The 27129-nt window shown below is 38.5% G+C and overlaps 1 protein-coding gene and 1 long non-coding RNA gene across 21 annotated transcripts in view; one reads left to right on the top strand and one right to left on the bottom strand.

Moving 5' to 3' along the window:
• BMAL2 (basic helix-loop-helix ARNT like 2) overlaps positions 1 to 27129 on the bottom strand; it is a 92451-nt gene that overhangs the window by 7641 nt on the left and 57681 nt on the right. For 19 of the 20 annotated variants that reach the window (NM_001394524.1, XM_011520768.3, NM_001394525.1 and 16 more), the window contains 6 exons: positions 16872 to 17112; positions 16283 to 16389; positions 15972 to 16122; positions 14969 to 15027; positions 14105 to 14213; positions 1699 to 1777 (listed from right to left, as the gene is read on the bottom strand). In NM_001394524.1, coding sequence (NP_001381453.1) covers positions 1699 to 1777; positions 14105 to 14213; positions 14969 to 15027; positions 15972 to 16122; positions 16283 to 16389; positions 16872 to 17112 — 746 coding nt within the window. The remainder of the gene's footprint in view (positions 1 to 1698; positions 1778 to 14104; positions 14214 to 14968; positions 15028 to 15971; positions 16123 to 16282; positions 16390 to 16871; positions 17113 to 27129) is intronic. The other variant, NM_001394527.1, reaches the window with a different exon arrangement.
• The window catches only part of BMAL2-AS1 (BMAL2 antisense RNA 1), a 56846-nt gene that overhangs the window by 28989 nt on the left and 728 nt on the right, over positions 1 to 27129 (top strand). Inside the window, exon 2 of the long non-coding RNA NR_109975.1 lies at positions 23023 to 23222. This is a non-coding gene — a long non-coding RNA (BMAL2 antisense RNA 1). The remainder of the gene's footprint in view (positions 1 to 23022; positions 23223 to 27129) is intronic.

Genomic DNA, 27129 nt, shown 5'->3' with positions numbered 1-27129 from the left:
ATATGGAAGCTTGCTTTTCCCGAGGACCATGTGCCAAGCTCTCCACCTGCATCATCTCATCTCATTTCTCAGATACCGTGAGGCAGCTATATTACACATCATAAATCTGAGGCCTAAAGGGATATCTTGCCCAAGGTGTTGAAGCCATGATTCTAACTCAAGTCTACCTGACTCCAAAGCCTGCATTCTTAAGAGCCATAACTGAAGGTGCATATGTAAGGAAAAGTTTTGGATGAAGAAGAAAAAGTTCACGTCCACAAATGCTTGGGGTCAAAGTTTATTTCTGTTTTTATAAAATGATGGCAAAACTATACCTCATATAAAACTACTATGGGAAATATTGCTTTGGAGTGGGAAACATTAAACCAAATGCTGTTACTGAAAAGTTCTTATACTGTTATATAGTTACAGGCCAAACAATCTAATAATCCATGTAGCTCATAAAACAGGAAATCATTTGCCTATATTGTCTCAAGTTGACATACTTTATCTATAGAATGCTTACATAACGTACACTACTTAGACATTTTTACTACCACATAAATCTGTTTCTCGCATCCTGCCTCACGCAAAATGGATACCTAATAAACACGTGCTAACTGTATGAAAAAAATGAATAAATAATAAAGCAGAAGACATGATATTTGTATAAAAAGACATGACATTTATATTTTCTTTTTTTGCTTTTAGACAGTTGCAGTCTGCCGCTCAGGCTAGTGCAGTGGTGTGATTATAGCTCACTTCAGCCTGAAACTTCTGGGCTCAAGTGATCCTCCTGACTCAGCCTCCTGCAGTAGCGGGGATTACAGGCATGTGCCACCATGCCTGGCTAGTATTTTAAAAAATCTTTTTTAGAAAGGAGGTCTCACTATATTGCCCAGGCCGGTCTTGGACTCCTGGCCTCAAGTGATCTTCCCACCTCAGCCTCCTGAGTAGCTGGGATTATAGGCACAAGCCACCATGCCTGGCTCTGATATTTGTATTTTCAAGTTTCTGTCTGTCCCTGGTCAGATAAAATTTCTCCTTTCTCCTGTAGTCTTATACTGCTTGATTTACAGACCTGCTTTAGAGCTTTTTGTTGTCTGTGCTAAATTACAATTATACTGTATTTTAGTCTTCCAGATAGCACTAGGTTTAGTAATTTTTGTATATACAATAATGCATTTCAAATAGCTAGTATTTGTTCAATTGAATTAAGTAGTATGTGGTATTTATCTTGTGGCTTGTATTATTTAAGCTTTTTTTTTCCAAACCTCAAGGAGTAGATTTAATCTACTAAATTGGAACCTATTACAATATCAATAATAAGAGCTACCATTTATTTAGCACTTACTGTGTGCTAGGCACTGTTCTAAGAGTTTTTGTTTATGTATTTAAGCTCTTAATTCTCACAATCCTCGAAATCAGTGACATTATTATTCTTACTTTATGAATGAGAAAATTGAGGCACAGAGAGTTTAAGTAAAAGTCTGAGGTTACATCCCAGTAAGTGTCATAACTTGGACTCAGATACTACGCTTCCAGCAACTTCATTCTTAACTACTATTCCACAACGCCACTTAAAAATCACTGAGTGATCAAAATGGGTTCATTTTTTTTTTGACAGAATGGCTTCTTTTCTTAAAAGAAATAATCAACAAGGGGCAAATTTTATTGTTCATTTATTTCATGAATATTATCATTTACAAGTATACTTACACTCCTGCAGTTTACAGTATGAGTATCTTTCATTAAACCTGTTGGACTCGAATCATCAAGGTATGAAGAAGACTGTAACCTTTAAAAAGTGATACATAAAACATTTTTAATTTTACATATTTTAGAAGGAAATTTTCTCCTCTAAATACATAATAATCTACTAATAAAAATACAGTGAGGAACTTGAAACTGAGTATCATAGCAGGTTTCACAATTAGACTGACTTACTAGGTGCCAGGCTTATTTTTGACTATGGAATGCTGAAAAACACTCCATGATAAATAGAAAAACAAAGCTCTGAGGTAAAAGCTCTTGAGTAAATCGTATCATCTGTCAATATAGCATGTGTTAATAGAATAACACAGCACAGTTTAAAACAGGTGCTCATGTCAAAAATCAGCTCCTCCTCAAGATACCAAATGGCAGAACCAAGAGTAAGGAAAGATTTACTAACATTCTGGAATCTTTTTAAAGTGGAAAATGTGCCATATTTTTACTATAATAGGTCATCCTCAGGTAAAAATCAATGAAACACACACATAGAGAAAAAAATGGCATAAACACAACTTTATGTCTTTATGTGTTCCCAAGAAGGCAGTTGACATTGAGGTGTACAATACGATGGTATACTGTACATATACATAGTAAAATGATTGCTGCAGTTAAATAAATTTACATATTCATCACCTCCCACAGTTACCTGTGTGTATGTGTATGTTGACAGCACCTAAAACCTACTCTCCTAGCAAATCTTCAGTATATAACATTATTAACTATAGTTAGTTCTCATGCTGCACATTCGATCTGTAGACTTACTCATTCTACCTAATGGCAAATTTGTACCTTTTGATTTACTTCTCCCCATTTCCATGCCCTCCCTGCCTCTAGTGAACACCTATCTACTCTATTTTTATTTAGTCAGCTTTTTTTTTCTAAGATTCTGCACATAAGAGAGATGATGCAGTATGTTTCATTCTGTATCTGGCTTATTTCACTTAGCATAATGTCCTGCGAGTTCATTCATATTGTCACTATTTATAATTTGAGACTTCTCTCTTTTTTTTCTTAGTCTAGCTAATGGTTTATCAATTTTATTTTTCAAAAACCCAACTCAGTTTCATCAGTCATTTCTATTGTTTTTCTAATCTTGATTCAATCTGTTTCTGCTCTGATAATTTCCTTCCTTCTGTTGACTTTGGACTTAGTTTGTACTGTTTCTAGTTTCTGGAGGTGTAAAGCTAGGGTTTTTTTCTTAACATAGGTATTTATTGCTATAAACGTCCCTCTTAGAACTGCTTTTTACTGCATTCCATACGTTTTGATATGTTGTGTTTCCACTTTCATTTTTCTCAAGATTTTTAAATTTCCCCTTTGATTTCTTCTTTGACCCACTGGTTGTTCAGGTATGTGTTGTTTAAATTGCACATATTTGTGACTCTTACGATTTTCCTCTTGTTACTGACTTCTAGTTTCTTACCATTGTGGCCAGAAAAGACACCTGATAGGACTTCCATGCTCTTAAATTTTTTAAGACTTGTTTTGTGGCCTAATATATCACCTATCCTGGAGAGTGCTCCATGTGCACTTGAAAAGAACGTGTATTCTGCTGCCATCAGATGGAGTGTTCACGTCTTTAGTCAAGTCCACTGTTTCCATATTGATGTTGTTTGAATGGTCTATCCATTGTTGAAACTGAGGTTTTGAGGTCCCCTACTAATATTGTATTGCTGTATATTTGTCCCTTCAATTTGGTTAATATTTGCTTTATACATTTAGGTGTTCAAGTGTTGAGTGCATATATATTTTCAATTGTTATATCCTCTTGAATTGACCCCTTCATCATTATATAATGATCTTCTTTGTCTCATGACAGTTTTGCAGGGGAGTTTTTTTTTTGCATGTTTTTCAAGACAGGGTCTTGCTGTTGCCCATGCTGGAGTGCAGTGGTCATTCACAGGTATGGTAACAGTGCACTACAGCCTTGAACTCCTGGGCTCAAGTGATCCTCCTGTCATCCTTCCAAATGGCTGGTACTACCGGTGTGTGCCACCATGCCCAGCTTAGTTTTTGACTTAACATCTATTCTGTCTAACATAAGTATGGTCACCCCTGTTCTCTCTTGGTTATCATTTGGATGGAATATCTTTTTCCATCCCTTCACTTTTGGCCTATGTGTGTCCTTAAAACTAAATTGAGTCACTGGTTGCAGCACACAGTTGGATCTTATTTTTTAAATCCATTCAGCCACTCTGTCTTTGATTGAATAATTTAATCCATTTATATGTAATTACTGATAGTAAAGTACCTACTAGGCTATATTGTTCATTGTTCTCTGTTTTGTAGTTCCTTTGTTCCATTCTTCCTTTCTTACTGTCTTCCTTTGTGATTTGATGATTTTTTTGTAGTGGTATGCTTTGATTCCTTTTTCTTTTTCTTGGAAAAAGAACTTATTTGTAGTTATTAGGAAGCCTACATAAAATACCTTGTCATTATAACAGGACATTTTAAGCTGATAATTTAACTTCAGCTGCACATAAAAACTCTACACTTTATTTCTCTCCACATTTTATGTTACTGATGTCACAATTGATATCTTTTACATATCATGTATTCATTAACAAATTATTGTAGCTATAATTATTTTTAATACTTTTGTCTTTTAACTTTTCTATTAGAATTCAAAGTGATTTATGTACTACCATTACAGTATTAGAGTATTTTGAATTTGACTATATTCTTATCTTTACAGAAAGTTTTATATTTCCATTTGTTAATTGGCACCCTTTCAGTTTAACGTGAAGAATTCCCTTTAGCATTCTTGAAAGGTAGATCTCATGGTGATTAACTCCCACAGCTTTTGTCTGTCTGGAAAAGTCCTTATCTACCTTACATTTCTGAAGGACAGCCTTACCACATGTAGTATTCTTGTTTGGCTTTTTTTTTTTTTCCTTGCAGCACTTTGAATATATCATCCTATTCTCTCCCGGCCTGCAAGGTTTCTGCTGAGGAAGCTGCTGAACGCTTATGTGGGTTCTTTTACATGTGACAAGTTGCTTTTTCTCTTCATGCTTTCAAAATCCTCTCCTTCTTTGACTTTTGAGAATTTGATTATAATGTGTCTTGGTGAAGATCTCTTTACATTTAATCTATTTGGGGTTCTTTGGGCTTCATAAATCTGGAACTCCTGGGCTCAATGAACATTCCCTTCTCTGAATTTGGGGGTTTTCCATTGTGTGTGTGTGTGTGTGTGTTTTGTTTTTAATAAGCTCTTTGCCTCTGACTTTCTCTATCCTTCTGGGACACACACATGTGTACATTGGTTTTCTTGAAAGTGTCCCATAAGTCCTATGGGCTTTCTTCACTCTGGAAATCCTATTGTGCCATCTTGCTGGCATCTGATATCACCCCTGTTCATGTTTTAAAATCACTAACTGCTCACTTAGCCTGATGAAAACTACCTCTCCCCTCATCTCTTTACAATCAGATTAATCTTCTGTATCTTGGCTTCCTTCATATTAGTTCCCTGGGCAAAAATCTACTATTTAAGTTCCTCTACTACTTGACTTTACCTTAGTTAGGAACCCCCACTGCTCACCAACTCAATTCCTCTCTCAATTGAGTCTCTGTTTTCTGAAGCCACTATGATTCCTTCTACCTACTTTCATACATTACCTAAGGTGCCTCCTTATATAAATGCCCTCTGTACTTTATGCTGAACATTTAATAGTACCCAGTTGTCAATGTTTAGCTCCATTTCCACTTCTCTTAAAATGCCCTTGCAGTATATATGGTCAAATAATTTTCACTAAGGGTGCCAAGAACACTCAGTGGGGAAAAGGATGGTCTTTGCAACAAATACTATGGGAAAACTGGTTATCCACATGCAAAAGAATGAAGCTGGACTCTTACCTTACCCCATATACACAAACTAACTTAAAGTAGATCAAAGACTAAACTTAGGACCTTAAGACCTAAGACTATAAAACTCTTAGGACGAAATAGTGGAACAGCCTCATGACATTGGATTTGGCAACCATTTCTTGGTATGACACCAAAAACACAGTCAACAAATGAAAATAAATAAATAAATTGGAGTATATAAAAATTAAAAACTTTTGTACATCAAAAAACCTGATAAACAGAGTAAAAAGGCAACCCAAAGACTGAGAGAAAATATTTGCCAATCACATATCTGCTAAGTGGTTAATATCCAGAATATGTGAAGAACTCCCAACTCAACAACAGCAACAAAACAAACAACTTGATTAAATAGTGGGCAAAGGACTTGAATGCACACTTCTCCAAAGAAAATATACAAATGGCCAATAAGCACATGAAAAGGCAGTCGATATCACTAATCAGTAGGAAAATGATAATGACTAGCTCACTGCAGACTTGAATTCCTGGGCTCAAGTGATCCTCCCACCTCAGCCTCCCAAGTAGCTGGGACTACCGCTGTGCCCCACTATGCGTGGCTAATCTCTCTTTTTTTTTTTTGAGATGGGGTCTCGATATGTTGCCCAGGATGGTCTTGAACTCCTAGCCTCAAGTGATCCTCTACCTTGGCCTCCCAAAGTGCTGGGGATTACAAGCATGAGCTACTGCACCTGGCCGTTTATTGTGTTATTATTTTTTTTAAATGTACTAAGCCAGGTAGCCAGGTGTGGTGGTGTGCCCCTGTAGTCCCAGCTGCCTGGGAGGCTGAGGCAGGAGGATCGCTTGAGCATGGGTTGTCCAGGCTGCAGTGAGCCATGATCGCACCGCTGCACTCCAGGCTGGGGGATAGAGCAAGACCCTGCCTCAAAAGAAAATTTAAAAAAACACAATAACTATTCTGTATACTACAATGTTTAAGATATAGAGATATATAAAATTAAATACATAAAGTTTAATATAAAGCTTAATAATTTTACTCTTTATACAAGAAAACTCTTTATACATTAAGATAGTTTGTCTATTTTACCGTATGAAATCCACACATTTTCCACAGTTTATAATTTCTCTTTTAACATTGCTATAATGATATAGTTATGTGTAAGGTTTTAATTTTTATACAATTAAATTTACCAAATATTTTTATTTACAAATTCTGGATTTTTTGATGTTTAGAAAGGACTTTTCAAGTTGAGAATATAAAAATTCATACATGTGTTCTGGAAAAGCTTTAGTTTTATTTTATTTTTAAAAATTATTATTTTTTTTATTACACTTTTAGTTTTAGGGTACATGTACACAACATGCAGGTTTCTTACATATGTATACATGTGACATGTTGGTGTGCTGCACCCATTAACTCTTCATTTAACATTAGGTATATCTCCTAATGCTGTCCCTCCCCTCTTCCCCTACCCCACAACAGGCCCTGGTGTGTGATGTTCCCCTTCCTGTGTCCATGTGTTCTCATTGTTCAATTCCCACCTATGAGTGAGAACATGCGGTGTTTGGTTTTTTGTCCTTGCCATAGTTTGCTGAGAATGATGGTTTCCAGCTTCATCCATGTCCCTACAAAGGACATGAACTCATCATTTTTTATGGCTGCACAGTATTCCATGGTGTATATGTGCCACATTTTCTTAATCCAGTCTATCATTGTTGGACATTTGGCTTGGTTCCCAGTCTCTGCTATTGTGAATAGTGCTGCAATAAACATACGTGTGTATGTGTCTTTAAAGCAGCATAATTTATAATCCTTCGGGTATATACCCAGTAATGGGATTGCTGGGTCAAATGGTATTTCTAGTTTTAGATCCCTGAGGAATCGCCACACTGACTTCCACAATGGTTGAACTAGTTTACAGTCCCACCAACAGTGTAAAAGTGTTCCTATTTCTCAACATCCTCTCCAGCACCTGTTGTTTCCTGACTTTTTAATGATCGCCATTCTAACTGGTGTGAGATGGTATCTCATTGTGGTTTTGATTTGCATTTGTCTGATGGCCAGTGATGATGAGCATTTTTTCATGTGTCTTTTGGCTGCATAAATGTCTTCTTTTGAGAAGTATCTGTTCATATCCTTTGCCCACTTTTTAATGGGGTTGTTTGTTTTTTTCTTGTAAATTTGTTGGAGTTCATTGTAGATTCTGGATATTAGCCCTTTGTCCGATGAGTAGATTGCAAAAATTTTCTCCCATTCTGTAGGTTGCCTGTTCACTCTGATGGTAGTTTCTTTTGCTGTGCAGAAGCTCTTTAGTTTAATTAGATCCCATTTGTCAATTTTGGCTTTTGTTGCCATTGCTTTTGGTGTTTTAGACATGAAGTCCTTGCCCATGCCTATGTCCTGAATGGTATGCCTAGGTTTTCTTCTAGGGTTTTCATGGTTTTAGGTCTAACATGTAAGTCTTTAATCCATCTTGAATTAATTTTTGTATAAGGTGTAAGGAAGGGATCCAGTTTCAGCTTTCTACATATGGCTAGCCAGTTTTCCCAGCACCATTTATTGAATAGGGAATCCTTTCCCCATTTCTTCTTTTTGTCAGGTTTGTCAAAGATCAGATGGTTGTAGATATGTGGCATTATTTCTGAGGGCTCTGTTCTGTTCCATTGGTCTATATCTCTGTTTTGGTACCAGTACCATGCTGTTTTGGTTACTGTAGCTTTGTAGTACAGTTTGAAGTCAGGTAGCATGATGCCTCCAGCTTTGTTCTTTTGGCTTAGGATTGACTTGGCAATGTGGGCTCTTTTTTGGTTCCATACGAACTTTAAAGTAGTTTTTTCCAATTCTGTGAAGAAAGTCATTGGTAGCTTGATGGGGATGGCATTGAATCTATAAATTACCTTGGGCAGTATGGCCATTTTCATGATATTGATTCTTCCTACCCATGAGCATGGAATGTTCTTCCATTTGTTTGTATCCTCTTTTATTTCATTGAGCAGTGGTTTCTAGTTCTCCTTGAAGAGGTCCTTCACATCCCTTGTAAGTTGGATTCCTAGGTATTTTATTCTCTTTGAAGCAATTGTAAATGGGAGTTCACTCATGATTTGGCTCTCTGTTTGTCTGTTATTGTTGTATAAGAATGCTTGTGATTTTTGCACATTGATTTTGTATCCTGAGACTTTGCTGAAGTTGCTTATCAGCTTAAGGCGATTTTGGGCTGAGACAATGGGGTTTTCTAGATATACAATCATGTCATCTGCAAACAGGGACAATTTGACTTCCTCTTCTCCTAATTGAATACCTTTTATTTCCTTCTCCTTCCTTATTGCCCTGGCCAGAACTTTCAACACTATGTTGTATAGGAGTGGTGAGAGACGGCATCCCTGTCTTGTGCCAGTTTTCAAAGGGAATGCTTCCAGTTTTTGCCCATTCAGTATGATATTGGCTATGGGTTTGTCATAGATAGCTCTTATTATTTTGAGATATGTCCCATCAATATCCAATTTATTGAGAGTTTTTAGCATGAAGCGTTGTTGAATTTTGTCAAAGGTCTTTTCTGCATCTATTGAGTTAATCATGTGGTTTTTGTCATTGGTTCTGTTTATATGCTGGATTACATTTATTGATTTGCGTATGTTGAACCAGCCTTGCATCCCAGGGATGAAGCCCACTTGATCATGGTAGATAAGCTTTTTGATGTGCTGCTGGATTTGGTTTGCCAGTATTTTATTGAGGATTTTTGTATCCATGTTCATCAGGGATATTGGTCTAAAATTCTCTTTTTTTGTTGTGTCTCTGCCAGGCTATGGTATCAGGATGATGCTGGCCTCATAAAATTAGTTAGGGAGGATTCCCTCTTTTTCTATTGATTGGAATAGTTTCAGAAGGAATGGTACCAGCTCCTCCTTGTACCTCTGGTAGAATTCGGCTGTGAATCCATCTGGTCCTGGACTTTTTTTGGTTGGTAAGCTATTAATTATTGCCTCAATTTCAGAGCCTGTTATTGGTCTATTCAGGGATTCAGCTTCTTCCTGGTTTAGTCTTGGGAGGCTGTATGTGTCAGGAATTTATCCATTTCTTCTAGATTTTCTAGTTTATTTGCGTAGAGGTGTTTATAGTATTCTCTGATGGTAGTTTGTATTTCTGTGGGGTCGGTGGTGATATCCCTTTTATCATTTTTTATTGCATCTATTTGATTCTTCTCTCTTTTCTTCTTTATTAGTCTTGCTAGCGGTCGATCAATTTTTTTGATCTTTTCAAAAAACCAGCTCCTGGATTCATTGATTTTTTGAAGGGTTTCTTGTGTCTCTATCTCCTTCAGTTCTGCTCTGATCTTAGTTATTTCTTGTCTTCTGCTAGCTTTTGAATGTGTTTGCTCTTGCTTCTCTAGTTCTTTTAATTGTGATTTTAGGGTGTCAATTTTAGATCTTTCCTGCTTTCTCTTGTGGGCATTTAGTGCTATAAATTTCCCTCTACACACTGCTTTGAATGCATCCCAGAGATTCTGGTATGTTGTGTCTTTGTTCTCGTTGGTTTCAAAGAACATCTTTATTTCTGCCTTCATTTCATTATGTACCCAGTAGTCATTCAGGAGCAGGTTGTTCAGTTTCCATGTAGTTGAGTGGTTTTGAGTGAGCTTCTTAATCCTGAGTTCTAGTTTGATTGCAATATGGTCTGAGAGATAGTTTGTTATAATTTCTGTTCTTTTACATTTGCTGAGGAGTGCTTTACTTCCAACTATGTGGTCAATTTTGGATTAGGTGTGGTGTAGTGCTGAAAAGAATGTATATTCTGTTGATTCGGGGCAGAGAGTTCTGTAGATGTCTATTAGGTCTGCTTGGTGCAGAGCTGAGTTCAGTTCCTGGATATCCTTGTTAACTTTCTGTCTCGTTGATCTGTCTAATGTTGACAGTGGGGTGTTAAAGTCTCCCATTATTATTGTGTGAGGGTCTAAGTCTCTTTGTAGGTCTCTAAGGACTTGCTTTATGAATCTGGGTGCTCCAGTATTGGGTGCATATATATTTAGGGTAGTTAGCTCTTCTTGTTGAATTGATCCCTTTACCATTATGTAATGGCCTTCTTTGTCTCTTTTGATCTTTATTGGTTTAAAGTCTGTTTTATCAGAGATTAGGATTGCAACCCCTGCCTTTTTTTGTTTTCCATTTGCTTGGTAGATCTTCCTCCATCCCTTTATTGTGAGCCTATGTTTGTCTCTGCACATGAGATGGGTCTCCTGAATACAGCACACTGATGGGTCTTGACTCTTTATACAATTTGCCAGTCTGTGTCTTTTAATTGGAGCATTTAGCCCATTTACATTTAAGGTTAATATTGTTATGTGGGAATTTGATCCTGTCATTATGATATTAGCTGGTTATTTTGCTCGTTAGCTGATGCAGTTTCTTCCTAGCCTCAATGGTTTACAATTTGGCATGTTTTTGCAGTGGCTGGTACTGGTTGTTCCTTTCCATGTTTAGTGCTTCCTTCAGGAGCTCTTGTAAGGCAGTCCTGGTGGTGACAAAATTTCTCAGCATTTGCTTGTCTGTAAAGTATTTTATTCCTCTTTCACTTATGAAGCTTAAGTTTGGCTGGATATGAACTTCTGGGTTGAAAATTCTTTTCTTTAACAATGTTGAATATTGGCCCCCACTCTCTTCTGGCCTGTAGAGTTTCTGCTGAGAGATCAGCTGTTAGTCTGATGGGCTTCCCTTTGTGGGTAACCTGACCTTTCTCTCTGGCTGCCCTTAACATTTTTTCCTTCATTTCAACTTTGGTGAATCTGACAATTATGTGTCTTAGAGTTGCTCTTCTCGAGGAGTATCTTTGTGGCGTTCTCTGTATTTCCTGAATCTGAATGTTGGCCTGCCTTGCTAGATTGGGGAAGTTCTCCTGGATAATATCCTGCAGAGTGTTTTCCAACTTGGTTCCATCCTCCCCGTCACTTTCAGGTACACCAATCAGACGTAGATTTGGTCTTTTCACATAGTCCCATATTTCTTGGAGGCTTTGTTTGTTTCTTTTTATTCTCTTTTCTCTAAACGTCTCTTCTCACTTCATTTCATTCATTTGATCTTGCATCACTGATACCCTTTCTTCCAGTTGATCGAATTGGCTACTGAGGCTTTGCATTCGTCATGTAGTTCTCATGCCGTTGTTTTCAGCTCCATCAGGTCCTTTAAGGACTTCTCTGCATTGGTTATTCTTGTTAGCCATTCATCTAATTTTTTTTTCAAGGTTTTTAACTTCTTTGCCATGGGTTCAAACTTCCTCCTTTAGCTCGGAGTAGTTTGATCATCTGAAGCCTTCTTCTCTCATCAAACTCATTCTCTGTCCAGCTTTGTTCCATTGCTGGTAAGGAGCTGCGTTCCTTTGAAGGAGGAAAGGCGCTCTGATTTTTAGAGTTTCCAGTTTTTCTGCTCTGTTTTTTCCCCATCTTTGTGGTTTTATCTACCTTTGGTCTTTGATGATGGTGACGTACAGATGGAGTTTTGGTGTGGATGTCCTTTCTGTTTGTTAGTTTTCCCTCTAACAGTCAGGACCCTCAGCTGCAGGTGTGTTGGAGTTTGCTGAAGGTCCACTCCAGACCTTGTTTGCCTGGGTATCAGCAGCGGAGGCTGCAGAACAGCGGATATTGGTGAACAGCAATTGTTGCTGCCTGATCGTTCCTCTGGAAGTTTTGTCTCAGAGGAGTACCTGGCCGTGTGAGGTGTCAGTCTTCCCCTACTGGGGGGTGCCTCCCAGTTAGGCTACTCAGGGGTCAGGGACCCACTTGAGGAGGCAGTCTGTCCATTCTCAGATCTCCAGCTGTGTGCTGGGAGAACCACTACTGTCTTCCAAGCTGTCAGACAGGGACATTTAAGTCTGCAGAGTTTTCTGCTGCCTTTTGTTTGGCTATGCCCTGCCCCCAGAGATGGAGTCTACAGAGGCAGGCAGGCTTCCTTGAGCTGCGGTGGGCTCCAACCAGTTCGAGCTTCCCGGCTGCTTTGTTTACCTACTCAAGCCTCGGCAATGGTGGGCACCCCTCCCCCAGCCTCGCTGCCGCCTTGCAGTTTGATCTCAGACTGCTGTGCTAGCAATGAGCGAGGCTCCGTGGGTGTAGGACCCTCCGAGCCAGGCATGGGATATAATCTCCTGGTGTGCTGCTTGCTAAGACCATTGGAAAAGTGCAGTGTTAGGGTGGGAGTGACCCGATTTTCCAGGTGCCCATCTGTCACCCCTTTGACTAGGAAAGGGAATTCCCTGACCCCTTGCGCTTTCCGGGTGAGGCGATGCCTCACCCTGCTTCGGCTCACGCTTGGTGCGCTGCACCCACTGTCCTGCACCCACTGTCCAACAATCCCCAGTGAGATGAACCCAGTACCTCAGCTGGAAATGCAGAAAGCACCCGTCTTCTGTGTCGCTCATGCTGGGAGCTGTAGACTGGAGCTGTTCCTATTCGGCCATCTTGGCTCCACCCGAAAAGCTTTAGTTTTATAGTTCTACTTTGAACTCTGATTTATCTGTAATTTATTTTAGTGTAAAGAATAAAGTTGGAGTCTAGCTTTATTTTTTCCCCAAATGGTTATACAGTTATCATAATGCCCTTTAATGTTTAATTCATTTCTACCTACTGATTTAAGGTGTCATTTTTAATTTTTACCATATAATAAATTTGCATGTGCATTTGATTGTATTTCTGAAATATAATCTTTTACATTGATCTATTTGTGGGTTGCACTAAAATGTTTTAGTGGTTGTAGCTTTATAACGTATTTTAATATCTGACAGCATTAGTCTCACTTTATTACTATTATTTTTCATAAATTTCTAGATATTTTAATGTGATTAGTATAATCTGTTGGATTCCAAAAAAAAAAAATGCATGGTGGTATTTTTTTTTTTTTTTTTTTGAGACAGGGTCTTGCTCTTTTGCCTAGACTGGAGTAAGTGGCAGGATCACAGCTGACTACAGCCTTGACACTGCCCCACCAGCCCCTCTCCCTCCACCCCACTCTAGTGATCCTCCCACCTTAGCCTCCCAAGTAGCTGGGACTATAGGCGTGCACCACCACATCCAGCTAATTTTTTTTTTTTTGTAGAGATGAGGTTTTGCCATGTTGCCCAGGCTTGTCTCAAATTTCTAGACTCAAGCAATCCATCTGCCTCGGCCTCCCCAAGTGCTAGGATTACAGGCATGACCCACCATGCCTGGCCACACGGTGGTATTTTGACTAGATCCACATTAAATTCACAGGCTAGTTTAAGGAACAGGACAATTCTTACAATTCTGCCTTCCTGTTGAAAAACAGCTTATATCTGAAGTTATATGAGTTATCTTTTTATATATCTTTGTGAATTTTAAAGTTTTTTTTCATGTTGGTATGAATATTTCTTATAAAATTTATATCTTTTTGTTGCTACTGTAAAGATAATATTTTCCATTATATTAAACTGGTTATCATTTGTATATAGGAAGGCTACTGATTTTTGTATATTGATTTTATAAATATGATATTTTTACTTTTGAAAATATTTGCAGCAATAAAACATTACCTCTGTAAATCCAGAATTTCATTTGCAATATCTGTTCCAATACTACCAGCACCAAGTACTGTTCCAGTAGACATTCCAGGTACACTCATACAGGACTGTCTAGAGGATTCTAAGTAACAGCAAAAGGAGAAATTCAGTTGAGGACTTTATCTTTCTTTCAATTCAAATAATTTCACAGTTCTCTCCTTAAAAGAAACAGACTAGCTGCATCCAAAAAAGTTGGAAAACACTCATCCTTGCATTACATATGTAATTCATGATGCTCTTTGAATCAAATGTGTAGAGTCACTGAGGGCACAATTGTGACTAGTAACCCTTGACTCCAGTCTCTTGCCACTTTAATCTCCACAGCAATACTACTTCAATGTTTCCTAAGATTTTTATTTTTACAAATAATACATTAATATATTCCTGTGGTGAAAAACTCACACAGATAAGCAAAAACTCCCCCAATACTTTTCGTTAATTTGTCCAAGAGTGTCACAATTGACAAGGAACAATGTTAGCTGCTAGGGCTGAAAAATGGATAAAACATCATTCCTGCCTTAAAGAACTGTCTACTGGAAAGCAAGTTGAATGAACAACTAATTGCAGTATAATGCAAGATTATAACAGAAAAGTGAGCAAAGCACTGTGGGAATTTTGAGGGGGACATGGTGATACCTCTGGGAGTTTAAATGGGATATCTATTTCCCGTTGAATTTAGTCTCTTCTAAACCAAAGTTGGGATTCCTATAACCCAACCTGCAGAACTACTTTTAATTTCACCTTCAAATTTTCCCCTCTCCAGGACAGAAAAAGATAGTAATAGTCTTAATAATATGTCTTAGTAATAAGTCTTCCATCATCTAAAAGTAAGCTTACCTTCTGATGATTGAGAGCTACAAGGTAAAAATGATGCTTCTCCAGGCTCACTATGTCCCCTAGAATTAAAAACACCATAGGTGATTTACTTTCTAAGGTGAAGGAAACTGTTATAGCAACTACACTAAGATCTGTATATTTAATTTGTCAATTTGTGGCCCATTTATGTTTTATATACACATATTGTTAGTATCACCACCAGAAATCAAGGTCTTAATGTGCTAAGTATCATGGTGTTTGCCAAATGCCCCATTCCTCTATAAAGTATGTGTTCTCACAATAACAAACTCTCAGTTCCTGTACTAATAATAAGTAGGCAAAGACTACTGGGATGGGTGACAGGAAATACTGGAAGTATTAAACTTTTTTTTTTTTTATTATTTTTCTCTCAGTATTGTAGACAAGGAAATAACTGGTTCAAGGAAACCTTACAGCAATTTCAAAGAGAAACTTACAGAAAAAAAGTAAGACTTACAACGGGGCCATCCTAGCCTCCTATAAAATCAGGAAAACTTGACTCTTCCTTCAGGCTGACACAGCTACAGACCAGAGCTTGCTAAAGCAACACCTGGGCTGGATTTCTGTTCTCCCCCGTGCTGAGCATGCCTACACAGACATGGCGGCACCCCAGGCTTATAAGATGTGCAGGTAAAAATGACAGGGAGGACAAAACAATTTCTTACAATAATGCACAGTAGAAATCCACGTCTGCATTGTTTACTGAATGGCCATGGAGGGTAGGAAGAAAATGCTTGAATAAATGCCTTTACCCTCACATATTATATCAAGTAAGAAGGAATGTATTACAGAAATGAAAACTTTTAGCTTAATTCTGAGAACTAATGTCAATGAACAGTAAATGAATTACTCAAAAGATAAATCTCAAGTTACAATAAAAGGCCAGAGGATCACACAGTTTTAATGGTTTAGCAAGATGAGAGGAGAAAAGCAAAGAGACTCATTTGAAATCAATATAAAGGTCTTAACATAAAAAATTACTTACAAAACTAAAGTGTTGACAGATACAATATATTCCAGTTCTTTTGTCCAAGGATTTGTGAAACTAAACCATTGGCTTTTTAAAGTTACAAAAGAGCCATCTTTTGCTCTGAATTTGTAGGAATCTGTAAGTATTTTCTCCTTACTCTGTAGAACTTAACGAGAAAAGATAATTATCAGCATAATAGTCAATGACTATAAAAATCAATGTTGTGAAGATTAATTCAAACTTCAAATTTCACAGGAATGGGAAATTAAGAGTTAAAACTGTCATTTTAAATTCCCCAAAATGTATTCTGCTCAATGCATACCTACCTGCTTTGTGCTTGTCAGTCAAATTATTGTGGTCATCTTGATGAAAATATTCATAACAAGAAGTTCCCAAAAGTTCCTGAGGCAGATATCCTAAAATCGCTGTTGCCCTGGTTTCAAAATTGAAAATAAACTTCAGAAGTGGTGAGTGTACTCCCTCCCAGAAGACTGTAGGCCCACATATGGTCAGGATCGTAAAGAAGTGCACAGGGTAGGGGATGAGTGACCCATGCATATCACTGGGCTCCCCTCGGCTGCCCTAGACCCAGACTAGAGCTGCAACACAGAACAGGCACCCAGGCATGAAGCCTCCACCCGATCCAGGCTGTGCTCCTACTAGCTTTTGCCAGTAAAATCGTGGCCACAGATCATGCCCAGTTTCTGCACCACTGGCTAAGAGACACTCTTCCAAGTTTACATGTTGGCTTAAGCAAATTTACTGACATGTCCATATTCTTATTTCATTTAAACTTTATTTTCTGTTCTGAAACAGAAAAAAGAAAAAGAAAAACTAGCAGTGCTACTAAGACACGCCTTTAATAGCTTCAAATATCCCATTGAATTCTAATCATTATAACATGTAAATGTTTACCTTTGATCTACATAGACAAATTTTCCATTCACTGCAAACCGGGTTATAAATTCAGTTGGTTTCACATTAATCTCTCCACTGTTCTGTGGAACAATATATGGCTGTAATCTTCCAATGGCCACAAGGCAGGTAAAATTACTGTTGTCTTTCTTACTGTTCCTTTCTTCTTCCATTCCAACAATATTTGGAGGCCAGCTTCTCAAGTAACCAGTGCAATGGATAGTATAGAATTTTCTGTGCTCTAATTCAAAGATTTTTAAAAAGGACATTTGGATCATTATAAATAAGTCATTAAATTTCTTATATTGACATCTATAATAGTTATAATTGTGCTATAAAATGCTCTTTAAATATGCTAAAATATGAAAGGGGAATGGTATTCCATTGAAAAGATATCACCAATTTTGTTTATTTCATGACTTTATTATTAATAGATTATTTTTCTCAGGAACTAAATTGTATGTACTACATGAAAAAACGAACAGGTTGCTCTATTTTAGGATTAACTAGGTCTATGACTTAACATATTTCCAAGTCAATTTTTAAAATTATAGTAATTTACATCTATTAGAAAAAATTAATCCTCATGCCCCCTTGCAATATTGTTTTCACCTTATTAAGTTTTTTGGTATATCGTAACTTATATTCAAAACTTTAAAAAGACATTTAAATAATTATGCATACATTCTTAAATTTCTTATGTTAGTGCTTATAATGGTTAACAGATACATAAGGTTATAATAGATTATAGAAACATTTTAAAGAACACTTGGAGAAATTTATAGTGAAAAGTACAAAAATAAAATAAATTTCACTTTTTAGGAAAATCCCAAGCAATTAACTCATAGGAAGAAGCTTGTCAAGCATGTCCACCAAAATAATAAAAAATTGGAAATAATCTATATCCTCAAATATCATGCTTAAGCAAAAAATAAATCCAATACGGGCATAAACAATGAGTAGGCTACAGATTATGGCATGCCACAAAAGTGATTTAAAGGTTAAAAAGTAGGGGGAAAGCCTGATAAAAATTATTTGAAACAGCTGTTTTTATGATAAGATTTAGAAAAGATTAGAACAATCATTGTTTCAAATTGGCACTATTTGGTAAAAGTTCCATTACAATAAATCCTTTAAATTTTTGTTTAAATAGAACATGATATGAACTGTCATATAAGATAGTAGTTAACAATAATAGCAAAGATTTAGAGAATACTTTATGTGTCACAGTCTGTTTAAAGTGCTTTAAACGTATAACTCATTTAATCTTAACAGCTCTATGGGATGTTCTAGTATCTCCATTGTCCTAGGAAACTGAGTTAATGGCAAGGTCACACCAGGTACAGGATGGAGCTGGGGTTAAAACTCAGGCTGGCTCCAGAGCCCACTTTCTAAATCACTAATGCCACACCATTTGCTGATAGTGAGTGCTCTGTCACCAAAGATGTTCAAATAGGAGTTGCCTGGGTGACAGAAGGGGAGGGGCACAAAGGTGTTCCAGCCAGAGGGAATGACCAGTGAGAACTGAGAGAGAGCGGTCAGATGCGGCTGAAGCATATGCTGCAGTGGGAAAGGCTGGAAAATAAAGCAGGGAACAGAGGGCAGGTTGTAAGCCATGCATAAAACCTTGTATCCAACATTTCACAAACACCACTCCCTTCCCAGGCCACAGATGCCCTAAATTACAAAACTCCTTACCTCTTCCAACCCAAACCCAGTCTTTATCACTTATTCCCTACCCTGTTTACTGGTGCCACGATCAACCCAGGCAGTTCAAAGAGAAATCTGGGGGTCATCCTAGGCTCTACCTCCCCCTAACAACCCAGATGCCTCAAAGGAATTAAAATTGAGTAAGTACGAATAAAAGTTTTCATTTAACAAAGCTAGATGGCAGTTAAAAATAAAAGGGCTTATACATCAGGTTCAGCATTTTTGCAAACTTATGAATGATACTGACTAAAAATATTCCACTCTACTGAAAATATAGACTTAAGAAAGTCTGTATTTTTAATTTATATATGTAATCTCATCACATAGAACCTAGCCTGTTGCATTTACTTCTCTCTTACAACAGGTTACTATCTATATTTCCAAATCGAACTGTCCCTCACTTCTCACTGTGAACATTTATTCAGTTGGCAAATTTCTAGCTGGGATTGTGTAATTCTATCAACTGCAATTCATTTGATCAGCTATCTAAGTTTTTTTTTTAAAAATCCCATTTAATCCATTTCCTATTTAGAAAAGAAAAAAATACAGCTCGCTACCAGTGCAGTATTCTCAGGGCAAATGGGAAGTGGGTTAAAAATTCTTATCTCAATAATTCTTTAGCTTTTTATCTAAATATTGGAGTCATGAGGACTGATCCTTGCCAAACTATTTACTTACATCGGCTCCACAGGCTAGATTCAAGTGTCATCTACTCCATGAGTTCCCAAATGTGTGTGGGGGTGAGGAGAGGGAGAAAAAGCCTGTATTACCCTAAACACTGCCTTAATTTACAGGACATCCTTTCAAAATCCTTTATGAAATTTTTCCTCAACATGTTGCAGGCTAGGTCTCTCAACTTGGTGTCTTGCTGTCTTCACTTGAAATCTTGAGGAAGCAGATCCAAAACAAGGATTCAAATATAAGAAGTTTATTTGAGGGGTGGTCCCAGGAAACACTGGCAGGGAACTGGGAAATGAGACACGGAAGAGAAGGAAGCTAATAAAGTACCTGAAACCTGCAAGTTCCTGGAGCCACAGGCAGAACTGGCTCCAGAGACCAGAGGAGATCAGGCGGAGAGTCCCGGCTTTGGACACTGGAGGCCAGTGGCATGCCCTGTCCGCAGTAGTGGGTGCTGGGGGGATATGCCATGGGGCACTGACAGATAGCATCTGCCACACATGCACAAGAAACAAGTGGATTCTGGGTGTACTGTTGCACTTCTTCCTCATGCACAATTATCTTATGAAGATAAATTTAAGAAACACTTAAGACATTTGGTAGCAGTCACCCATCCTTCATCAGCCTGCGATTTCACAACTTCAGATACCTGAGTAATTGTCTCTCTACCTTAGAAGCTTTTTCAAAGTCTGAATCCGTGACCCATGAAGGTTTGATTCAGGATATAAATAATTTTTTAAAATGTCAATGTTATTTTTAAAAAATCTTTTATTATGTAAAATCTCAAACATAATGCAAAATCAGAAATAAACTTGGGTAACTCATCTTGAGAAATCCTGAGAAATGGCCTTTCCATAAATCTTAAATTCAACTTCCAATTAAAATAAAAAGGGCTGCTCTCTAGTCTTCCTCTAAGTTTAAATGTAACTGACATGTCATGGTAAAAGGGAAGAAAAACACCTTTACTAACCACAGGCTTTCATCATTAATAATGAGCAGTCTAAAACACAGTGAATTGGCTGGGCGTGGTGGCTCACGCCTATAATCCCAGCACTTTGGGAGGCCAAGGTTGGCGGATCACAAGGTCAGGAGATCAAGACCATCCTGGCTAAAATGGTGAAACCCCATCTCTACTAAAAATACAAAAAATTAGCCAGGTTTGGTGGCATGTGCCTGTAGTCCCAGTTACTTGGGAGGCTGAAGCAGGAGAACGGCTTGAACCCAGGAGGCAGAGGTTGCAGTGAGCCGAGATCATGCCACTGCACTCCAGCCTGGACCACAGAGCAAGACTCCATCTCAATAAATAAATAAACAAACAAACAAACAAACAAACAAACAAAACCACAGTGAATTCCACTGGTTAATTACTATTTGAAAGAGTAATTTCAAAACGACCATATGAAAAATGTAATTTCACTTGACAGACACTCTCCCTGGTTAAAGCAGAAGACAAAATGACCCTCAAGCAGGTCATCCAGGTGGCAAATCAGGGTTTATATTCTGCAGTAACCTTATCCTGGCCCAGCTGTCTACAGGCAGTTCTCAAACCAGGTCCTGCAAGGAAGGGCCACACTGAATGCTGACACATTCCCTTACCATTGCTTAGGCCTGTGCATTTGGTACAGACCTCTAGTGTGTTAAGTGAATATGTGGTTCCAGGGCTTGAGCAGATTCAAAACTCCTTTTTGAAAAGATATTTGCCTCTGAGTGCAAGCATCTGTGTGGCCCAGCTTGGCGTGGGAGTGAACATCCTGGTGTGGGCAGGAACACATTCCTACAGCAGGCGCCCACTCCCTCGCTGTGTGTCTGCTGCAAAAATCATCCAGAATCTCTTTCACGAAAACCTTCCGGCATCTAGGAAGCAACTCTAGTAGGTGGCATGGCATACAGATTTTAAAGCCAGATTGCTGATTCTGTCACTCTATATGTGACTTTAGAAAAATTACACAACCTTCTAAAAGTGCAGTTTCCTCATCTGTGCTCTGCACAGAACTGTTAGGGAGATTAAACTGGATAATTATGCAACATGCTTGGCATATAGTAGAATCTTAATAATTATTCACTCACTCCTTTCTCTGTTTTCTCTTCTCTTCTTTCTGAGCTGCAAATAGCTACCATTTATTGAGTGCTTCCTAGAAGCCAAGCACTGCATGAGCCACGGGTGATCCTAACCACACTCTCAGGAGATGCTGTCATTACCCACTGTATTAGTCTGCTCAGGTTGTCGTAACAAAATTCCAGACTGGATGGTTTCAAAAACAGAAATGTTGTATAGGGGTCTACCTTATAACCTTATTTACCCTTAATTACATCTTTAAAGGCTCTAACTACGAATACAGTCACACTGGGGCCTAGCGCTTCAACATACAAACTTTGGGGGAAAACAATTCACCCTGTACCACCCATTTTCCATATATTAAGAGAAACTTGCCTAAGGTCGCACAATTGTTAAGAAGCAGACCTGACACTAAAACCCTACTGAATTCAGAGCCCAGGCCCTTTCTACTCTGTCCTACAGCATGGCTGTTGGGAGGCAGAGTCTAGTGGGAGAACCTGGAACATTAGAGCAACTCAAAAATGTATTTGTTCCTTTAGTTCCTCCCAGAATTCAACTACGAATTAACTCTAATTGACCATTTGCCAGATATTCTTGAAATATCTATATTTTCCCAATAAGATTATCATGTATTTCAAAGGAAAGAAATCATTCCTACCTCTTCTATAAATGTGTAAAACTTGCAATAAAAAATCATTTTAGGAACCCCATGGAAGGACTAAAATTTGATTAGTACATTCTCAAGAATGCTGCTTGGTTGTTTTTTTTTCTTAAACCTATGACTGTACACATGCATTTTTGCTTGAAAATTGAATATTTAAAAGACCACTTCAAAATACCATAGCAGGGCTATGCAGTTCCACGGAGGACATCCCACTTTCCTTCTTGTATCTTTGCAAAGGGTTAAAAGTCCGCAGATTATTAGACGTCCAAGATTATCATCAGTGACTGACTTGAGCTCCCATATCTAGGAAAAATCCTCCAAGAATGTATATATTCAGTCATGTGTTGTCTAGAATTTCACAAAACAATGAGAGGAAGAATTAAAGGTGACAGAAAGGAGGAGGAGCCCAGACAAGGTGGAGTCCTGCTATTGCTTTGTGACTTCTAGTTCCATATTTGAAGCCAAATTTTAAAATGCCAATTTAATTAACCGACATTTATTTTCAGCAAGGCCCAGATTCCTTTGGTTCTCAGGGCAGAGCCTTTTCAGATTTCTTTCTCATGAGAACTACGGTATAGAAAATGATGCAAGTTATTTGCAGTCTGAGGTTGGGCTGCCATAGCAAAATAGCAGACTTGGTAGCTTCAACAACAGGAACTTATTTTCTCACAGTTCTGGAGGCTGGAAGCCTAGAGATGGAGGTGTCAGCAGGGCTGGGTTCTGGTGAGGGCTGTCTTTCTGGCTTGCAGATATACACCAACTTGTTGTGTGCTCACATGGCCTTCCCTTGCTCACTGCATTCATGCAGAGACAAAAAGCTCTCTGGTGCCTCTCCTTACAAGAACACTAATCCCATGATGAGGTCCTCATCCTCATGACCTCATCCAAACCTAATTATCTCCCAAAGGCCCAATCTCCAAATACCATCATGTCGGGAATTAAGGCATCAACATACGAATTCTGGGGGGACAATTCAGTCCACAGCATTTGCTAAAAACTTATTGAGATAAAATCTAAAAAAAATGTTGAAATTGCTTCCTTAGGTAAAAGAGAAAGATTATAATGTATATTCATTCATTTAATTCATAATCGTTCCTGTGGATTTGAGAGTGGTTATATGGGCAGTCACCCAGGAACAAAGGACAAGAGGATTGTCACTTATGCCTTCAGGAAATGTTTATTGAATGTCTACTATGGGCCAGAAACAACAGACAGAAATGCAGCTCTCATTCTCGTGTGGGAGGCAAGTATTAAAAAGTTAAGTAATTTCAATACAGTGTGGAAGGGCAGCAAATCTGAGAGAAGCTCAGGATTACTCATGTGGGTACCTGGGACTCAAGCCACCAGAGTTGGGAGGGTATCAGGGATGGTTTCCTGGAAAGAGGGGATGCCTGGGTTTCAATGTCCAGGGTCTGCAGACAGACTTGTGTGTTGTAGTCAGGCATGGTGGCTCACACCTGAAATCCTAGCCTTTTGGGAGGCTGAACTGGGAGGACTGCTTAAGGCCAGGAGTTTGAGACCAGCCAGAGCAATATAGTCAGACCCCATCTCTACAAAAAATTTTAAACTTAGAGGGATGCAGTGATACATATCTGTAGTCTCAGCTACTTGGGAGGCTGAGGCGGGAAGATCATCTGAGCCCAGGAGTTTGAGGCTGCAGTGAGCTATGACTGCACCACTGCACAAGTGTGTTATGTCTGTAATTGTTACAAAGTGAATAGCACCAAAAAACTGAGTAATCTTTCAGTATTCAAAAACTATTATTAATTCAGCAAAGATGTCATTCACATCACACTTTCCACCACCCACTTATTAGTTTACATGTTTCTTGGCTGCCTCTAGCATATTAGGGCCATCTCACATAAGGTCCACTACAGCAGTACTTGTCTACCTGCTCCCCAGTGTGTCCTTTGCATTTGGCATAGTACCTGGCACATAGTACACACTCAATAAACTGTTCATTCACCAACATCTATTGTTGTCAGACAACGATCTCAGGTTTATCCCAATCATTTTCCCCTCAGCACAGCCAATGTGCAGGGATCTTTTCAGAAATAAGACTGTGAAAGAAGCTAGGAGAAAATACAGCTCAGGGAGGAATCTTTAGTCCTAGGCTTGAGCACTGCTGTCCAGGGCATCCCTACTTACCATTTCTCACACTCTCAGAGAATCTTGAGAAAAGAGTCTAAAGCAGTGACTGTCAAAGTAGGCTCTCTGGATTAACAGCATCAGCCACACCTGGGAGCTTGCTAGAAATGCACATTCTTGGACCCCACCTCAAACTGATTCAATCTGTGTTTTAAAAATCCTTCCAGGTGATTCCAATGCAGGCTAAAGTTTGAGAACCATGTGTCTAAAGGTATAATTTAAAATGTATTTATTCAGTGCCCCTAAATTCTCCTGAATATCAGGGAGGAGTTCAAATGGTGATAGTGGATTTGGTTGGAAGATCAGGCCACAAGAGAATGGGGTTTTGCCAAGAGGTTTCTGAGTAGAAGCTCAGCCTAGATAAGTATTTATTTTCAAGTTCAAGAATATAAATTAGTTTGAATGTAGATATGGGTTTGAGATGGAGAAGGCTGGGTAAGTTTACTTATGTCAGAAGAGAGAATGAAACTGGGAGAAGTGGCAGGGAGGATTAGATTAGGGTGGAGGGGAGAGAATACAGAGGCTGAAAATGAAGCCTGTAGAGTTGCAAGCTTTACCAGTAAAGAGCAAGATGATGGGGTAGGGGGCAGAGGGCGAAATCAGGTTTCACAAAAATGGAAGGTTATAATGGGCACCAGCCAGACACCAACACAAACATGACTAAAATACTAAGTCAGTCCATGTGGGAAATCTCCCAGGAGGAAAGACAATTCAATCTGGTCATCTTTAAAACACATACAAAATTTGACCATTCTAGCCTCTACTCAATTTATAACTTGCATCAAACATTACAGATTTCAGCCACCTTAAGGCTGTTTTATTGGCTGTCATGTTTTCCTCTTACGGATTTCTGTGTAGATTCGGTGATTTACAAATGATTGGATCCTTATGGATGGATTAATTAGAGGTGAACCAACACAGTGTTGGTTCACCTCTGGTTAAAGCCTAACAGTAAAACATACCACATTCTGACTCCTTGGATCACCCACACAGAAGGAATATTCCTGCCCTTGGAGACTATTTTCACATCATACGGCCATGTCCTTCCTAGCTGGTCGCTATGGTATGACTAAGATGACTGATGTGGGAAGGAAGGCAGAGAGAACAGGCACTCTGGGGCAGTGACAATAATGGCACCTGCCATCGGCTCTGCACTGTCCTAAGAGTTTAGGTGGACTATTTCCAATAGTGTTTGTAAGAGCTCCTAACATCGGTGTCACTATGCTGGGAACCAGGCTAAGCACGTGATGTGTATTAACTCATTTAATCCTGGTAACAACCCTATTATTGGGGTCCTATTATTCCCATTTTACAACTGAGGGAAGTAAGGGCCAGAAGGATTTAGTAATTTATCTTAAGTCACATAGTTGAGTTAGGATTCAAATCTAAACCCTTTGGCTCTAGAACCTACTCATTTATCTGCTGTGCTAAACCACAGAGTCCTGTGAATATTCCTGTGTTAAAGATATGGAAACTGAAGCTCAGAGGGATTAAGAAACTTGCTTACGATCACACAGCTAGCAAGTCGTAGAGCTAAAATCTGATCCCCACTGGTTGGATTCCACAGCCTCTTCACCTCTATTTCGGCTGTGACTTCAAGCCCAGGAAGCTTCATATGTGACGTTAGACAGCTCTCCACCACTCAGAGCCTTGGGCAAGAGGGAAGCAACAGATGGCCCTCAAACAGATCCCCCTGAGGACTGCTGGTTCATTTCCATTTTTGTTTCTTTACAGTATAACACAGAGTAGGGGGTTTATGATTGATTGTGAATTTTGCCTATTTGACTCTCTGCAAGTTACTGAATCTCTCCAAGTCACTTGATTCTAAAATAGAGATAAGAAAAGTATTTTCTGCTTATACACTGTTGGGAATGTAAATTAGTTCAGCCACTATGGAAAGCAGTTTAGGGTTTTCTCAAAGAACTTAAAATAGAGCTACCATTGGACCCAGGAGTCCCATTACTGGGTATACACCCAAAGGAAAATAGATCATTCTACCAAAAAGACATATGCACTTGTATGTTCATTGCAGCACTGTTCACAATAGCAAATACATGAAATCTGCCTAGGTGCCCATCCCTGGTGGATTAAAGAAAAGTGGGCTACGTATGAATCATGGAATACTACACAGCCATAAAAAAGAATGAAATCATGTCCTTTGCAGCACTGTGGATAGAGCTGGAGGCTATAATCCTAAGTGAATTGATGCAAGAACAGAAAACCAAATACCACATGTTCCCACTTATAAGTAGGAGCTAAACATGGAGCACATAAGGACATAAACACGGGAACAACAGACACTGTGGACTATTAGAGGGGGAAGGGAGGGAAGGGCGTGTGGGTTGAAAAACTATCTACTGGGTACTATGCTCACTACCTTAGTGCAATATACCCATGAAACAAACCTGCACATGTAGTCCCTGTATCTAAAATAAATGTTGAAAATTTTTAAAAAAAGAATAGTGTTTTCATGAGGATTAAAACACTTAGCACAGTATCTGGCACAGGGTTAGCGTTAAATAAATGAGTATTAGCAATTACCGTTTCAGGTGTTTGTCAAAAAAGATTCCGACCAAAACTTAATTGAATTTTTGTGGCTCCATATAAATATCCTTTTAAAGGATAGGAAGGCAAATCCCATGTTAAAATTTGCCTATGGAATCCTATATCTCATAGCTTAATATGCTCTTAGGCAAAAAAGTCATGAGACATTTTGTAGTCCCTGAAATTTCCCAATTAAGTTAAATAGATGACTATTTAATCAATTCAAAAAGTAAATATCTGCAAGAAAAATCTAGCAAAGGATCATAAGAAAACAAATGAGATATTTACCGAAGAATCACCATCTCATAAAAAATTAAAATCACACCTGGAACATCTTAAGAAACTTTCACCAAAATTAGTCAAATCAGGCTCTTGTACTATTGAAGTTTTTTTAACATCTAACCTTTATATTTTAAAATGTAATAATGAAGTTTCACAGCAAAAGTTTTATTTCCATC

The sequence above is a fragment of the Homo sapiens genome, chromosome 12, assembly GCF_000001405.40.
Source record: "Homo sapiens chromosome 12, GRCh38.p14 Primary Assembly".
NCBI lineage: Eukaryota > Metazoa > Chordata > Mammalia > Primates > Hominidae > Homo > Homo sapiens.
This window is presented reverse-complemented; position numbering and strand designations above follow the sequence as displayed.